This window comes from Homo sapiens, chromosome 15, assembly GCF_000001405.40.
Source record: "Homo sapiens chromosome 15, GRCh38.p14 Primary Assembly".
Taxonomy (NCBI): domain Eukaryota; kingdom Metazoa; phylum Chordata; class Mammalia; order Primates; family Hominidae; genus Homo; species Homo sapiens.
Genome location: NC_000015.10, coordinates 48031773 through 48050586, shown reverse-complemented (window position 1 = coordinate 48050586; position 18814 = coordinate 48031773). Strand labels below are relative to the sequence as shown.

General features: G+C 39.5%; 1 long non-coding RNA gene across 2 annotated transcripts in view, besides 1 other annotated feature; it reads right to left on the bottom strand.

The window, feature by feature from the left end:
- Nucleotides 1–1038: 1038 nt before the first annotated feature.
- LOC124900354 (uncharacterized) overlaps nt 1039–18814 on the bottom strand; it is a 165186-nt gene continuing 147410 nt past the window's right edge. For both annotated transcript variants that reach the window (XR_001751516.3, XR_001751518.3), the window contains exon 3: nt 1039–1797. This is a non-coding gene — a long non-coding RNA (uncharacterized LOC124900354). The remainder of the gene's footprint in view (nt 1798–18814) is intronic.
- Nucleotides 16594–17793: an enhancer, noted in NCBI's record as "BRD4-independent group 4 enhancer chr15:48324991-48326190 (GRCh37/hg19 assembly coordinates)". NCBI's record gives its function as "activates an origin of replication core promoter dependent on BRD2, P300/CBP, MED14 and CDK7 cofactors, and independent of BRD4, by STARR-seq in HCT116 cells {active_cell/tissue: HCT116}" and the evidence as "EXISTENCE:reporter gene assay evidence [ECO:0000049][PMID:35650434]".

Sequence of the window (18814 nt, the reverse complement as noted above, 5' to 3'; positions counted from 1 at the left end):
TCACACAAACACTGCCATATTTAAGCAGTCAAAAACGCTATGGTTATCACCGGTTCCACCAAGCTAATAGAGGAGATAATTGGGGCTTGAAAATGACATGTTTATTGCTTAAGGTCATACAATGACAAAATAATAGAATCAAAATTCAAAGCTTAGTCTGACTCTAAAGTTCATGTCTTAACCACTGGATTATTTAGGTTACTTTGCTTCCAAGCAATGAGTTGGCAACATTTTGCAGGACATATGGCGTCTCTGACAACTATTCCACTCTACCTGTAACACAAAAGCAGCTGTAGATAACATGTAAATGAATGAGTGTAACTGTGTTCCAATAAAACTTTATTTAAAAAACAGGTGGTGAAATGGATTGGGTCTTTGGGCTGCCATCTGCCAATTCCTGCTTTAAATTATGAGTATATTCTTCAGTTCCTGTTTTCTGTAGACTATATTTCTCTGGTTTTTGTTTTATGAGTTCACTCCAGGTCCTCATAGCTAGTGATGAAGCTTAATTCACATTTCAAGTAGTCACAGATTTCTTGAATCAATCCTACTTCTCTACTTAGATATGTTTCTGTGATAAGATAACTCTTAAACATATTCTTCTTGCTTTAGCAAGACCTCAGATAAAAACATGATTCAGAGCCAGAAGAACAGGAAGGGTGGTTTGTAAGGCTCTGTCCAGTAGAACAGAGAGGGAGAAATGTGGATGATGTAAAGTCAGGCTTCCTCAAGCAGCCTGGTTGCTGAATCTTGGATTCAGATTATCTAGTCCAAGTATACACATGAGTCTAGTCTATCACATCTCTGAAATAATTATTTGATTCCTTCTTATGTGCTTCCATGGTCATGGGACTCTCAATCCCTGAAGGTAGTCTTTTTCATGTCTTCCTCAGAGATGGAGTAAGTGGACCACCCTAGTTCTTGGAAATGTTGTGCATATAGTGAACTAAAAGGTGTCTTTGTGTAATTTGTTTCCATCATCCCACTTCTGGACTTTGAAGCCACACAAAATAATGTAATTTCTTCTACAAGATAGTCTGGGATTGTAAATTTATTTTGCACCATAGGGAGGAAAAAGTACTAGATCTCACTAATAATATCAATGCCAAATGAAAAATACTTGGGAATAGTCTTAAAAAGAAACTCCAGATCCTATGTGAAGAATACTTCAAACTGTTTTTGAGATTATAAGAAAAAATGAAACAGATAGAAAAATATACAGTGGGAAGACAATATATTATAGTAAAAATGTTGATTCCTGCCAAATTAATAATCAGATGTAATGGATCTCATCCAAAACCCAACAATTTTACTTTTTTATAAGTAAATGTTGCAGGTTGGGCTTTCCAGAAAGCTAACTGGACTGAGGTTAGTCGGCAGATCATTTATTTGGGAGAGCTCCTGGACCATGGAGGGGTTGGGGGAGAAGCAGAGCTGGGCAGATGGGGAATGTGATCTGCAAACCAGTCCCAAAGAAGCCTTCCCCTGTCCCCATGGGGAGCACTGCACTAGCTTTAATCTTGAGAGTCATATCAAATAGGGACTGAGAACTGGCCTTTATAGTGTTCCCCTCAGCCCAATCAGTTTGTCATCAAAGGCAGGCTACTTCTGGAAGGAGGCCTGATCAAGGTGAGACAACTGTCTTCAGCTGAGGGCTCACAGCTGAGAGCCATCCTCCAGTAGCACTCTTAGCATCTGGAGGAATAAGTCTTCCTTCCTGAAGGAGGATCTCGGTGGCTCATCACAGCATCTGCCACATGGAAGAAATTGGACAGAATTTCCAACTGTAGAGTTTATCTGAAATAATAAATTGATAGAATGATTATACAATTTTAACCAAGAAGAGTAATATAAGAAGTCTTGCCTCATTAGATATTGTAATATACTGTGAAGCTATCTACAATCATTAAAAGAGTAAAGTATTGGCCTAGGAATAGACAGGTTGATCAATGATCAGAAATGCAAACCCAGAACTGAACCCTTGCATGTGTAAGAGCTTGATTCATAATGCATGTTGTCTCTCGATCTAGTAGGGAATGAATGGTTATTCAGTATATGATATTGTGACAACAATGAAGTTATTATAGGTTCCCTAACTCAAAACTTACACCACAGGTGATTTCAGATGGAGTAAAAATTTAAATGTAAAGAAGAAAATTTAATAATAGAAAAAAGTGTAATAATGGGGGTGGAAAAGGACTTTCTAAGCATGACCTCAAAGGTCAGAATTCATAAAAGAAAAAAAACACTTTAAATGAAGTTAACATGTCAGAGTGGCAACAAACCTACTAAAATTCATAAACCTAGTATTGATTGAAGCTTATTATGTACCAGAGACTGTTATCAGGACATGATATGACTTGATATCTAACCCAATGATCAAGGTACTATTACGATTTCTATTTTATAGATGAGGGAACTGAGGACTAGAAAGATCAAATAATCTACCTAAGGTTACAAAACAAGGACATAGAAAAGATTCAAGTCCATCTGTTCAAAACTGCTATGCTATAAACAAATGTAAAAACAGTGACAACCCAGGAAAAGTACCTGTATTATCAATGGCAAAGGGTTACTAGCCCTAGTCTTAAAAGGTTTGTTACAAATCAATATTGAATATATGAATACCCCAGTAGAAAATTCAGGAACCCAAGGTAAAGAAGAATAATAATGACCAAGAAATACATAAGAAGAGTTTCAACTTTACAATCCTACCGGTGAGGGGAAAAAAAGAAAGAGAATTTGAATAATGAGAAACATTTTTCTTCTGGCCCTTAAGCAGAGTAAGAAAGGATTCTATCCTGGAATGGCAAAAGTGAGGAAATGGCTACTTCCACAAAGCTAGCAAGAGTGCTGAGTAGTACATATTTTCCAAAGAGTTATTTGACAATATTTGTCAAAAGATTGGACCCTGTAATGCTACTGATAGAAATCTATCCTAAGAAAATGTGTGTGTGTGTGTGTGTGGTGTGTGTTTCTTCTGGTATTGTAAAAAACAATTTTTTTTTTAAACTAACCCTTCTCTTATTTTTCTACCATAAACATGCATGACTCATATAATAAAATGCAAATTGTGATACTTGATATCAAAGTTTTGAGTAGATTTTTTAATTCTGAAGGCTTTTTAGAAGCCATTCTGGCCTTGGCATTTTAAATGTCTGTAAAATATGTTTGAGTTTGGTTCATTTTTTGGTTTCAACCTGGTTTATTTTTGTGCATGGCTCCTCTGTGTATGTTTGTTCCCTCTACCTAGAGAGCTTGCTGTGTCATTTAGTAAGTAAAGCAGCCAGAGAACAAAGCCACCAATGTAATTTGAGTAGGTGTGGATCAGAATGAATTAGGCTGCAGGAAATGGTTTGGGACTGTTTTTCAAGATCTTTACTTTTTTTCAGTCTTTTGTATTCAGGAAAGATTGAGAGCCCAAGTGGGAGAGGAAGCCTTTCAGGTTTTTAGGTTTTTAAAATGCAGGTCTCGAAGGCCTTAGACTGAGATTCCTTGGCATGACAGGAACAGAATTTGGTGCAAAAAGGAAGCAAATCGCCTTGGCTGAGATATTATCCCTATGGTCCCTATGGTCCCGTCCATCTCCCCAGGTGTCCGGCTGTCCTTCCTCCTCTGTCAAATATCCCTTGCCTTTTCTCTATTCCTTCCTTCCTCCACGCTCCCTGAGGTGACAGTGTCCTTGAATTTGAATATCTTTCCCCCCAAAGTAGAATCATCTAGGTAAGTAAGGAGAGAAAATGAGAGTTTATTTTCTAGTTTCCAGGGGCTGATTTTAGTGAGGCAAATAGTTCAAAGACTTTGCCAAGTTTTCGTTTGTGTGGTGTTGCTCTCTTTTGTTTATTTTTGCATACCTGCATTGTCCTAATGCTGTATCTCTTTACAGCTCTCACCTATCGCCTTCCTAACACTGTGTCCATATTCTTCTCACCTCCACAGAAATCCTTATTGGGTAGCAACAAGAGGAAGAAAGAATGAGGCACACGTGATAGCGCTGTCATGGACACCATGGGTGCAAAAGTGGGTGAGAGATTATCTGAAACAGAACAGGCTATGGGACAAATATCCCTGTTCTTTCTCAATTTATTCATTTACTTATTTATCCATTCCTTAAGCATGAATTTTGTTCTCGTATATGCCAGACACTGTAACAGGCCAAGAAATAGATGGATAAACCTACTTCTAGCCCTCAAATAATTCATAGTTAAGAGCCCAAATTATCAAATATGCATGCTCGTTGGAATTGCTTGCAGACTTTTGTAAGAATACAGATTTCTGGGCCCCATTTGGGACCTATTGTGTCCAGATTACCAAAGGGAGGGTTCAGAAATCTGTATTTTAGTTAAATTTCTCAGATAATTCTTGGCAGTCAGCATTGGTCGGAGGATCAATGTTAGAAAACTACTGGTAATGGCTTCATGGTGCATTAAAGAAAAAATACAACTAAGAACCCATTTGCAGTGTGGTTCAAAGCCAGCCAGCCTTTTCTCCTTCCTTTCTTCCCCAACATTCCTCCTGTGAGCATTCAAGTCAAGAATGTATTTCAGTTTTCTATTGCTGAGTAGCCAGCTTTCCGAAAACTTTGTGCTTTACAATAGTGATTTGTTATTTTTCATAATTCTGTGGATTGACTAGGATTAGCTGTATGGTTCTTCTGTTCCACATAGTGTAGCTGAGGTCACCCAGGTGCTGCATTCAGCTGGGAGGTCAGCTGAGGCTGGCACATCCAAGATGGTCTCTCATACTCTCTGCATGGTGTCTCATGATTTGGGAATTTAGCCTGAGCCTTTTTTTTTTTCTGAGACAGAGTCTTGCTCTATCACCCAGGCTGGAGTACAGTGGTGTGATCTTGGCTCACTGCAACCTCTGGCTCCTGGGTTCAAGTGATGCTTGTGCTTCAGCCTCCCGAATAGATGGGATTACAGGTGTGCACAATCACACCAGACTAATTTTTATAGTTTTAGCAAAGACAGGGTTTCGCCATGTTGGCCGTGCTGGTCTTGAACTCCTGGCCTCAAATGATCCACTTGCCTTGGTCTCCCAAAGTGCTGGAATTACAGGCATGAGCCACCACGCCCAACATAGCCTGAGCCTCTTTACCACTTGGCAGTTGACTTTCAAGGAAGAAAAAGCTGATGCTAACAGTTCCTTTGAGACCTGAACTCAGAAGTCCCAGATCATCAGTTCTAAGCATTCTATTGGTCAAAGCAAGGCACAGGGACAACCCAGATTCAAGAGAAGGAGAAACAGATCCACCTTGTGTTGAGAGGAGCAGGAAAAAAAATTGTTACTATCTTTTAGTCCACTATAGATTTAAAAAAAAAAAACCCACAGGAACTTTGTGCTGATTTATAAGGTCTCTACACTCATTAACTTCACAGATGACTTCAGGCTAGGGGTCTCAGAGACGGTTCTAGAAGTCGGTCAGTTTAGACCAAGACCTTGGCTGTTTGTATAAGTGTCCATAAATGAACAATAAAATTTAATAGGAACAAGCTGTAAATACAAGATGGGTCACTCTATCAAGACTGCATAAAAAAGGGCTGAAAATAAATAATGGACAAACAGTCATGAGAATGTAATCTAGCCTGTGTGCCAAAGAAGCAAGCATGATATTGGATATATCTAGAAATTCTGTAGCACAGTAAAACCATGACTAGAATATTATATTCAGTTTTGGCCTTTGTAATTTAGAGTCAGGATTGTTCAAGGTAAAAATGGAAATGCAATTGCATTGGATCTTCTTTGCATATATTTGTCTCTCTTCCCCCAGTAGCATCTTAGCTCCATGAGAGTATTAGGTTGGTGTAAAAGTAATTGTGGTTTTTGCCATTGAAAGTAATGGCAAAAATACAATTACTTTTGCACCAACCTGATAGCAGAACTTTTTTGTTTTCTGTTGTATTTTTAATGCCCCTAGCAGTGCCAGGTACCTCGTAGGTACTCAGTAAAAGTTTCTTAAATAAATGCATGAGTCTCCTTATAAGCTTTAGAGAACTGAACACAAGACTTGGATCACAGTAGCCTTTCCACAAGTGCTTACTAAATTGACTTGTTGACCAGTGTGTTGTATAGTACATGGGTGAAGAGACCTGGGTTTAAGATCCTGCTCTGCCTCTAACTTCTTTTATTTATTTATTTATTTATTTATATTTTACTTTAAGTTCTGGGATACATGTGCAGAACATGCAGGTTTGTTACATAGGTATACATATGCTATGGTGGTTTGCTGCACTTATCAACCCATTATCTAGGTTTTAAGCCCTGCATGCATTAGGTATTTGTCCTAATGCTCTCCCTCCTCTTCCCCCTGACCCCTACACAGGCCCGGGTGTGTGTTGTTCCCCTCGCTGTGTCCATGTATTCTCATTGTTCAACTCCCACTTATGAGTGAGAACACGCGGTGTTTGGTTTTCTGTTCCTGTGTTAATTTGCTGAGAATGGTGGCTTCCAGCTGCATCCTTGTCCCTGCAAAGGACATGATCTCATTCTTTTTTATGGCTGCATAGTATTCCATGGTGCATATGTATCACATTTTCTTTATCCAGTCTATCATTGATGGGCATTTGAGTTGGTTCCATGCCTTTGCTATAGTAAATAGTGCTGCAATAAACATACGTGTGCACATGTCTTTATAGGAGAATGATTTATATTCCTTTGGGTATATAGCCAGTAATGGGATGGCTGGGTTAAATGGTATTTCTGGTTCTGGATCCTTGAGGAATTGCCGCACTGTCTTCCACAATGGTTGAACTAATTTACATTCCCACCAACAGTGTAAAAGCATTTGTATTTCTCCACAGCCTCACCAGCATCTATTGTTTCTTGACTTTTTAATAACTGACATTCTGACTGGTGTGGGATGGTATCTCATTTTGGTTTTGATTTGCATTTCTCTAATGATCAGTGATGATGAGCTTTTTTTCATATGTTTGTTTCTGCCTCTAACTTCTTTGTGATGTTAGACAAGTATTTAGTTTTTTCACGTCTCATCAGGCACCTCCTCTATAAAACTCAAAATTTAAAGGAATCATAGATAAGAAAGTGGTTTGGAAAGAAAATTACCAATGGTCTCTGTATTATTCTTTGAGGGTCCTCCCTTCCGCTCAAGGCAAGGGTGTTGTAGACCATACTCCCAGTTCATTTCTTGGTGTCCTGTGGGTGGGGAGGGGCATGGATCAACCCATACCATAATTAATGCATAAGGAAGTAAGGATAACGCTGGAATTCTCAGAGGTGAAGGGGAACAAGGAGGGTAGAGACAGCAATGTCTCCCACATTGGGAGATGTGGGTTTTATTACTGTCCAAGTGGATTAGAATATCAGCTATACTTAATATGGACTTATTAGGGTTTTGAATCCCTCTTTTGGTAGAAATTGTGGTTGTTTTCTAAAATGTTAGTGAATATAGAAGGAGCAGGGGCTTAGGTGTCAAATTACCTAAGTTTGAATTCAGTTTCACCACATTAGCTGGGAGACCACAGGCAAATTACTTAACTTTTCTAAATTCCACTTTCATCTTCTGTAAAATGGGGATTTTTAGAAACTACCTACCTTGCTGAGCTATTATGAAAATTGGATGAAATATTCCATACGAAATGGCTGGAACACATACATGTTTTTTATCATTATCATCATGATTACTATTTTTAGGAGGAGGAGTGGTGGAGTAATAGTGGTCCCAGGCCTACCTGGGTTTAGTAACTTAAATCCTCTGAATCTCATTTTCCATGTGATTAAATGGGACAATGATCTACATTACAAAGCTGTTATCCCAACCTTGCTTTGGAAGCTGCATGTGGTATATGTCAAAAAACTTTGCAAATTAAGAATTATCCAGATGTTCGTTGTTATCAAATGTTAAAATTCAGCTACTGTCGCCTGCTCTAGGGAGCCCGGTCTATCTCACCCCACCAGAATACAATGTCCCCTTAGCCCTGGTTTGGTCCCCACAATCTTCACTCCCTCTGGATGCAGAGTCAGACCATCTTCCAGACCCAAGAGGACCAAAACCTCAGTCCCAGATGCAGGATAAACACAGAGTATGCCCTTGTCAAGCTTCCACAAGAGACCATAAGGGCCATGGCATAGGGACATACTTTAAGAGCTACTGCTGCAGACCCTTCTGAGGGTTGTCAAAACTGTCAACAAAGAAGGTTGTCAAGTTTCTCTCCCCAAGGTCTTTAAAAATGAGAGTCTTGCCTGAAGATGGAGTCTGAATTACATGACATCTCAAGATACATCTCATTAAGATTCCATGTCACTTCCTGAGTTTGTCTAGTCTCTGTCTTGGAAAGTAAGGCCCTTCAGTAATTAAACATCTGAAGGAACTGGGCATTCATTATCCTGAGCATTAATTCTGAAGGCAGATCAGGAGATTCTGCAATTTCAAATCATTTTGGTAAATGGCCATTTGATTATTAGCCAGCTGATGGAATTAGAAAGAGATCTTTGAACTCCATCTTTGTTCACATCCCAGTTCTTAGGGTTTCTAAGCATATAAGTCTTTGATTACCTTGCTGTATGAATGCTCTGCTGAATTTTCTTTGTAGACATATCTGTCCTCTTTGCGATAGGGGCAGTTCCTTGGGGACTGGGCAACTAACTTGTCTTGTGTGCCACTCACTTTCTGTGATTACATGGGGTTTAAAGAGTACACAGTAAGTGCTGTTGGTTTTCTTTAAACAAATGAATAAATTTTCTGAGGAATTAGTCAGTTGATTGTGGCCAAATATGGGATTGCTACTAAAAGATGTCAGCATGCATTTTGGATTTGATTTGTGGTTGTCTGCCATCTGGAAGTAAAATAATTGACAAACATTTTCAAGTAGACTTTTCTGGTAATTTAGGACTAATTTTAATGTAATTAAGAACATTTCTGGAGTTTGCAGAAGTCATTTCATCAAGTGAGGTTTATTCACAGAGGACAGAATAAGATTCTTTTCCAAGACCGGTCAGTAAATGGAACAGTAAAAGACCTCTAATCCCATTAACAATGAAAGCAGGGCCAAAATTTATGTTCCAGTCCTGTGTCCTGTGCTTTGTCATTCAGTGAAGACATAAACATCCAGTAAAAATGGGCTGGATTAATATAGATCCATTTTTCCGGGCCAAGAATTTCTTGAAAGAGGGTGGTAGACTGTAGTCATGCGATTTTTGAATACTGATTCTGACTTTAGTTAGCACTGTGTACCTCAGTTTCATTGTCGATACAATGGGGGTGACACAGAGATGGGGAGCTCTAATATCCTATGATTTAATGCCAGGTGTCTGGCAACCCATCCACCAGAGAGTGGAAGTAGCAAGCAACTTTATGGCTCTCATGAAATTCCTTGGGACCAGAATTTCTCATATCGCTAAATACACCAGATGCCAATGAATTGTTTATTGCCTTATATGGATGTCATGGTGGTTCTGGGCACCAGCTCTGAGGACAGGCTAAGCAGGATCTTTCTTGAAATTTCCATTCAGTTTTACCATTTTATGTAGGTTAGCCTTCCTAAGTCTCATTGTAAAATGATCATATTAACATTTCATTGAAAGTGGAAATGAAAATAGTGCCCACAGCATTTTAGTCCTTGTTGAAAGGACTAAAATGATGAGGGATGTATGATGATGTAAGGAGCACCTGATATAGTAAGAGTTAAAAAAATAATAATTGCTAATGCAGTGGTGAAGGACGGAGATAAGGATAGCCGTGACGAGTCACTGAAAGAGACAAGGTCATCAGTTTTCTTGTCCATCTCTCAGGTTGCCATGAAGATTAAATGATTCCATTTTTGTAGAGTTTAGCAGAGTACCTGGCACATAGTAAGCACTATTAAAAAGTGTTAATTTTCAAACTAATAGTATTTGAATAAGTTTCCCACACTCTGCAATATAGATCAGGCTTCTGTTGCATGAGGGCAACAGAAAAGGAAGGTGTTTGCTCCCACGGACACACTTTCTAGGCAGTCATTTAGTTTTATGATCAAGAAAGAACAATGCATTTCCTCCTGGATATGCTGTTGTCTCTAAAGACAACAGGTGCTCTGCCACAGTGCTGACTACCAAATAATTTGTCCTTTTCACCTTTCCTCATGCTCACGCTTCTTTTGTACTCTTTTCTGTATATGTTCTTTTTTTGGTATTCAAACTACTTTCCCTCTGCTGTGATCTTCCCCTCACATCTGCTCTTATCCCTTGCTTTGCCGCTAAGCCGCATGAGTCATGAGGGCTGTTCTGACAGAGGTGCAACTGTTCTTTGGCAATCAAAGAGCTGCTCATGCCCTGCTCGAAGTCATACGGTAATGCTGCAAATGCCAGCTCAAATGCCAGCAAAAACCAGACCCCCTTTCATCTCTCTCTTTTGAAGAAATTCTTTGTAGAGGGCTCCTTATGAATACTATCTTGAGACAGAGTGCATTTTTATCCATTTGTCTTGCTTTTCTCTCCCATTTTCCACTTACAGAGGGAATAGAAAGTTGGGATTCATGAGAAAACTCAGCAGAGGGAGCCTCCCAAGAATCCCTACCACTGACTTAGGTACAGAAATGCGATTTCCATCACATCTTGATTTTTCAGGAGGCCTTATCTGCTCAGATTTCATTTGTACCTTTCTGTCATGGAGTTACCCCAAAAAATCATGGACTTGTCTTTACAATCTTTTTTTTTTTTTTTTTTTTGAGATTTGTGACTCTAAGTTAGGTTTATCACACCAGATTTTTGTGTTTTAAATGTTTTAATCTGGTATACTGTGAGCCACTGTGCTATCCCAGGCTCAAAACTTACTTGGAGAGCATACTAGCTTTAGGGAATAACCCAACCAGCCTGTTTTGCTGTCAGGGCTTTTTATAAAGCACTTTTCTACACACTTAAGTAAACACCCAAAAATGAGATCAAAATTCCTTCTAAATCCTAGTGTTTCACTCATTATTTTTAGTTACTTATTGTTTACATCCAACCTAAATTGCCTAAAAAATATGCAATAATGTAGGAGAAACTAACTGAACTGATGCCTCCCTAAGACAGGGTCCTGGTGAGAAGTCCCAAAGGGAGTTAGGAAGGGCCTGCAGGATGAGTGCTTTGGCCTTTAACTTTATTCTTGTTCAGACAATTGTGTTTCTTGTCCAGGTACAGGTGTGTCACTGAGAAATTCAGCAACCACTGCAAGAGCAATAGGTGATTTCTGCTTACCCAGGCCTGACCCCCAATCTGGGCTGAGACTTTCTATTGAGCACCTACTCAGTGCAAGCTCATGACATACATTATCTCTAACCTTTGTACAAACGCCATAAAGTTTTATTATCCTAGTTCTTCAGGCAAAGAAACTGAGGCTTAGAAGCCTCAGTAATTTAACCAAGTATGGCAGATGGTAGCTTCAAAATATGACCACAGCAATGTTCCCAGCAGCATAGGCACATCCTGAACTTGGATACTCTCCTGCCCAGAGGTGAAGTACATTTTTTTCTCTCCTTGAAAGTTGGTTGGTCTTTATGATTGTCTCAATAAGTAGAATGTTGTGGAAGTGATGGTGCATGACTTCTCAGGTTATATCAATAAAAGGTCACATTTTGTCTAGCCCTTTCTCTCTCTTTAGGAATATTCACCATTAAGACCCAGCTGCCATGTTGTGAGGAAGCTCATGCCACATGGAGAGGCCACGTGTGGATCTGGGCAACAGCTCTGGCTGAGGTCCCAGCTAACTAACACCCAGTACTGATGGCCAAACCTTCCAAAGATGCCAGCTTCCAATCTCATGCCTAGGGGGGCACAGATAAGTTGACCCTGCCAAGTCTGGCCCCAGTTGCAGAGCCATGAGCAAAATCAATGTTGTTGTACTAAGATACTAAGTTTTAGGGTGGTGTGTTATGTAGCAATATAAGCAAAATACCAAGTTTATACAGTTGGTTAGTAAATGATTCAGGATTTGAACTTAAGATCTGTATAACTGTCCACTTCTCTTGGCTGGTTCCAAGAGAACCTTATTCCAAGAGAATCCTTATTCTCCCAAGCCTTACTCCTTTCCTTCAGCCTGGAATTCAGAGGCATTCTGCCTCTCCTTGCTGTAGGTGTGCTTATTGCTATTCAGCCCCTAATTCACATATGTAGTCATTAATATACAGAAACCTTGACATGAGCATACACACTCCTAATAGAGATCTGCCTTATGCACTTACGGGAAGCTTTCCAGCTTTCCACATTAGGTTTGTAGCTCTTGTCAGTGTTTCCTAAGGGTGTAATAAGTCTCCACAATAGCCAGTATACTGTCATGAGTGTACACGTTCTAAAACCTGCATGTCTAGGTTCCAGTCCCACCTCCTCCACTTACTACCTGTCTACTAGTGTGTTTAACTTCTCTGTGTTCTAATTTTTCCATCTATAAAGTAGAATAGCAACAGTCCCTTCCTCATTCATTATTCCTTGCTATAATGAATTGAGGAAGCAGGTCCTTAGAACAGTGCTTGGCATATTAGCTGTCAGTAAATATGACTTATTTATGGGTCACCTATAAATTAGAACCATATTTCACCACACATCTTTTTCTACTCAGGTCATTGGACAAGAAAAATGTTTACTTATTCTACTGGCTGTTTTTTCTGCAGTTTTGTGTAGCCCACTTATTCTTTATGTGGAAGGTGAGGCAAATTCTGCTGGGCATGCATCTTCCAGTAGGGAGGATGCCCTTCTGGGCTGGCCAGAGACTTTGGCATTTTCACGGTTCGGCTCGACCCTTATCTTAGCCACATCAGCTGTTCTACTAAACAAGAGCTTTTGGTTTCACTGTTAATTGTTTGTAGTGTGTGTAATTAGAAGTATGAACTGAAATGTATTTTGGAAGACACTTGAAAACATTGGGTATCTCACCATAGGGTCTCAGGGGATCCAATGGAGAAGCAGCATAAGAGATCAGAGAGCTCCTTCTGCTTTAATACAGACAATAGAGAAACACAAACAATTGGATGGGACAAGATGCTGGCTCACAGGGTATTAATTAACACACAGGACACAACCACAGAGAATCTTTAGTTCAACCTCCTCATTTACAGGGTGAGAGCCCAGAGGTGAAGCAACTCCCCTGAGATGGTACAACTCGTCTGGACTTTACAAACCTGTGGCTTGATCAGCTTGTCTTCCCGATCACTTAGGTTATTGGACTTTTGGAGGCAGGGGGCAGGGGGAGTCAATTAATTTAGATTGTTCTGATACAATGACTTGGATTTTTCATCTTTGCAATTAACTTTTTGTTCAATTTCTTTTGCTTGATGAAAAACTGATGTAGAGAGGTAGCTGCAACAAAGAGATGTATATTTAGAAGTGCCATTTGCTGAAACTAGTCAAGTGTCAGAAATTATAGGAAACATGTAATTATCCAGTCTATCTCATGGCTGGGGAGTCCTATTGGTGTGATGGCTAAATTAGTTTTATGATATTATTTCTGGCTTCAGTTCAGGTGAATCTAAGATGCCAGGAAGCATAGAAACTCTCTGACATCTCTGTATTTCAGGACCTATCTTTGCTAGGCAGGAAGAAATGTGATATCAACACAAAAAATATAAATTGAAAAGCTTCCTTTGGCCCTTTGTGTACTGCCTGGCTTTTTCATATCAGTTACTTGATTTTTATCCCTTGTCTGCCATGCTCTTGGAGTCTTTGCTGTCTCAGTGTGTGTTTTAGATGCTTAATGCCTCCTCCCTTGAAGCCCATTCCCTCTGAACATATGTTAATAAGGTCCCAAGAAGTGGTGCTACATTTTGCAGCACAATTTCAGTTGCCCAGAGAGATAGATGGCTTGAAACAGGCAAAGGGACCCCCTCAAGTAGGCTTGGAGAACAGGACCACCAGGAGCTCTGAATGGAATTCAATCAGATGGTACTACCGGAAAGGGGGATAGGAAGAGTGATCCCTTTGACAGGAAAACAAATTGAAAGGGAAAGAAAATCGGAAAGCAAATGCCAGTTTTCAAGATGGGGACTGGGAGCAGAGGGGCGCTGCATTTGATCAAATCGAGGCTTCACACTGCAATAGTTTTCTAATATTCTGATATTTCTATCTGACATCAGACAGGGTCTTGATTAAAGTGTCTCCTGAGGAAAGAAACTTTCCTTTGTAGGTTTTGGGTACCAGGATTAATCTCAGCTTAGATGATGGCCCCATTTGGCTGGTAAAAAAAAAAAAAGCATAGATAGCAGGTGATTATGCCTTCTTCCCTCTCCTGTCAGCTTGCATTTAATGGAAGCTCCTTGCAGATAAAAAGTTGGGAGTAGTATTTCACTGTGTATGCATACACATACACACACCCATTGAAATCTGACCACTGAAGGAAGTTATAGATGAAAGTGGCCTTGTTATTTTCTTAAAAGTAAAAATTGCACTGTCTAAAAGTACATAGCACATCTGAGGTCTCTTTGAAACAGTCTCTGCCTCAATGTTCTATGCATTTCTAAGCAGGGAGAGTTTAGGCAACTTCAGGGAAAAGAAAAACCTACCAGATGCTTTTAGGTTTTAACCAGTGAAATGAAGTTCTTCTCATTCATGGACAGTTTTAAAGTGAGTGACTTCCCATTTGATTGACGTATAGCATCGTGACTAGGAGAGTTAGTCAACCTGGGTATAAATCCTGGATGCTCCATTTACTTAGTGTGAGACCTTAGGAATTTTCATTCACATTTTGGAGATGTAGTTTCCTTAACTGTAAAATAGGGATACTTAGCATTGTTGTGATGATGGGATGATGTTGTGAGATAGCACTTAACAACTGTGTAGCATAGTGCATAGTACTTGTCAAGTAACAAATGCTATGTAATTATTTATAGTTTATACAACAACAACAACAACAATAACAGCCTGAGGGATTAGCTATGGTGGCATGTATGAGAAAGACATTTTGGAGATAAAACCTGCAATTATGCACTATTAGCAGGAAGTAAGTTATGAAAGAATGAGTGTCACCAAAGGCAACCTGATTTGAAATGGAGGGCTTCGTTCTTCATCTCCTAGGTGGGTTTACATTAACATGTTTACTTTTGCAATACAAGATATGGTCAGTGTATTAGATAATTTACCTTTTCAAAATGGCTATCAAGGAAGAAGGGCAGCAGGTGGGTGGAGTGATGGGCATTACTATTTCCATATCAGAAATGAGAAAGCGAGAAAGCCGGCACATCCTGCACATCCTCTGACCTGAAGTGGAAGCATGTATGCTGTGGGGCTTATGGCCGCCACCCACAGTAGAAGATGAGGCTGGAGCTTTTGTCAGTAGGGAGCAGGGAGATGTTGAGCTCTAAGATAATGATGTACAGCCCTTGGAGTCTATTGATTCTGCAAATTGCGTTGTTCTTGCTATAAGGACATGACACACTATAGATGAAAAGTGTATTTCACCAAGATATTGCTCTTTGATACTTCATCAATTCATCCATTGAGCAACTACATATGTAAAGAGTGGCATCTTTCATCTTCTTGCAAAGTCCACACCCTTCTGCCCCCATGCTCAATATTTTAGTTAACAATACAGCCATGTGGTTAGCCACCTGAGCCAGACATTTCGGTGCATTCTCGACTCCTTGTTTTCCCTTACTTTCCATTCCCCAAGAAAACATCTTATTGATTCTCACTTTCTCCATATTTCTCAACTCACTCCTCTCCTCTCAACCAGCAGTGCTGCCCCATCCTTGTCTGGCCTTCTGAGATGGTCTCCTTACAGGCCTTCCTCTAGTGGCTTTCCTATTCAGGATTTCTTTCCTCCAACCACCAGCACAACCATCCAGAAAGCACCATTTTCATTTTCTGCTAAAATCCTCCAAAGGCTTCTTGCAGAGTGATGGCCAAATCCCTTAGTGTGGCCTAAAAGATCTTTCCAAATCTAGCCTCTTGCTCCCCAGACTTATCCCTGCCATGCCTCCTTTGCACCTGCCTCAGGAGCACCGCATGTCTTGTCTTGCAACACTGCAGTACCTTCCTGCTTTTGAATCTTTGCTGTCTCCTCAGCTGGATTGTCATTTCTTTCTAGATTTCTCTGAAATGCCCCATCCTCTGGAAAGTCTTTCTTTTCTTTCTCATTGCTTTGCAATTCAGATTATGTTCTTTATAATCATCCTTCTCTGAATAGTCCTCCAATGTTGAACTAAGCACATTGGACTTTAATTATTTGAGGACAAGTTTATCTTCCATGTCAGAAAGACAACTCTCCTGTCCCCAAGGTCAGCAACCATGTCCTCAGTACCTCAATAAGAGTTTATGGAATTAATTGGGGGAAAGATTTGAAGACAAGCACACTGTAGGTATTCTTTTTGAAAATTGCTATTTTTTTTAAGAATACAGTCTGATGATTTGTGAGTATGTAAAAAGTGTTTCTTGGATATAAGTAGTGAGGATGATAGCTTCACTATCATTCCACCCTTTCAGGAGGTGCTTGCTTTAGAGTCAGAAAAAAGATCAAGGCTCTTACTTATAGTGTGGTCAAAAGGTTCAAGAAACCAGGTCCTGAAGGGCAGCCAACTAGAAAGGTTGTGGGGATTTGGAACCCAGATGTGTCCCTGCAGCATGAGACAAGTACAAATAGGAAGATGAAGTAAAGGGAGGACAAGAAAGAACAGAAAGTGAGAGCAAAAGAAAAGGAGAGATGGTGACATGGAAACTAGAGCCAACCAAAGAAGAGACAAGGGGTTAGTGCCATGAGGTCTTCATTGCAGCATCGCGAGAGCAGTAAGTTGAGCTTTTAAATCTGATTGGTACATTTTCTACTTCCTTTCCCATCTTCCTTTCTCCCTCCCATAGGAAAGAACTTCATCATATTGCCACTCTATCTTATCTTTGTTTTTCTTTTATATGCCCTTTATTTTTTAGAGCCATTTTAGGTTCACAGCAAAATTGAGTGAAAGATATAGAGATTGTCCATATACTCCCCACCCCTACACATGCACAGCCTCCCCCATTGTCAACATCTCCCACCAAAGTGGTCCATTTGTTACAACTGATGAACCTACACTGACTCAATATTATCACCCAGAGTCTGTAGTTTCCATTAGGGTTCACTCTTGGTGTTGTACATTCTATGGGTTTGGACAAATGTATAATGACATGTGTCTACCATTATAGTATCATAGAGAGTAGTTTCATTGCCCTACAACTCCTCTGTGCTCTGTCTATTTTTCCTTCCTTACCCCAGCCCCTAGCAACTACTGATCATTTTACTGTCTCCATAGTTTTGCCCTTTCCAGAAGGTCATAAAGTTGGAATCATAGAGTATGTAGCCATTTCAGACTGACTTCTTTCGCTTAGTAATATGCATTTAAGTTTCCTCATAGCTTAATAGCTCATTTCTCTTTTAGAGGTGAACAATATTCCATTGTATGCATGTACCACAGTTTATTTATCCGCTCATCTACTGATGGACATTTTGGTTGCTTCCAAGTTTGGGCAATTGTGAATAAAGCTGCTATATACATCCCTGTGCGGGTTTTGTTTAGACATGTTTCAATTTATTTGGGTAAATGCCAAGGAAGGCCATTGCTAGATCATACAGTAAGGGTAGGTTTAGTTTTGCAAGAAATTGCCAAACTGTCTTCCAAAGTGGCTGTACCATTTTGTAGTCTCATCAGCAATTAATGAGAGTTTTTGTTATTCCACATCCTTGCCAGCATGATGTTGTCAGTGTTCTAGACTTTGGCCATTCTAGTAGTTATGTAGTGGTATCTCGTTTAATCTGCATTTTCCTAATAACATTATGTGGAACATCTTTTCATGTGCTTATTTGCTATCTTATACCTTCGTTGGTGAAATATCTATTTTTAATAGAGTTGTTTGTTTTCTTTTTGTTGAGTTTTAAGAGTTCTTTGTATATTTTGATTGACAATCCTTTATCATACGTGTCTTTTGCAAACATTTTCTCCCAGGTTATGGCTTGTCCTCTCATTCTCTTGACAGTATCTTTTGTAGAGAAGAAGTTTTTAGTTTTAATGAAGTTCAGCCTTTCAGTTATTTCTTCCATGGATTGTGTCTTCGGTGTTGTATCTAAAGAGTTATCACTGAACAGAGGTCATCTATTATATTCTCTCCTACATTATTTTCTAGGAGTTTATCATTTTGTGTTTTACACTTAGGTCTATGGTCCATTCATAGATAATTTTTATGAAAGGTGTAAGGTCTGTTACTAGATCATTTTGGTTTTTGCCTGTGAATCCCCACATCTGTCTTTTGGTATGAATATTTTATCATTGAAAATAATAAATTTAGAGGTCTATAAAGGCTCTTTATTGTTTTATTTTACAATGCGGACCGTTACTGCTTATCAGGTCCCACTGATAACCACAGTACTTTCAAAAAAGGTTGTCTATAAAAATCTGAGTGGGGACAGAGTTTCTCTGCTTTTTCTCCCCACCTACCACTTTTGACATACTAGATTAAATTTCAGCCCCGGGCCAATCTGTCAAAGAAACAGGAAATGTCTCTTGCTATGACATATTTGCCAGCGGCTGAGGTTTGAAACCAGGTGGGTATTAGTTCTTACACAGAAGCAATTTCTCCCGATCAGAGAAGCTGATCAGCTCAGCCAAAACCTTTACTGTATGGATGTGTCTTGATATGAAAAACATATTCTGATAAATGTTTAACAATTTGCACAATTTTCGAGAAACTTAAAGAAATAGGAAAGATGAGAGTTTGGGGAGGGTGAGGACTAGGGAAGAAAAATCAAATCTAAATATAGTTGTGCTTTCATCAATATTCAAACTGTATGTGGATGATTTTAATATGGTTATCAACACACTAAATAGGCTGTATGTGACTGGAGACAGAGTGATAAGGGAGGGGGTTAGTGTATTTCTCACAGTCA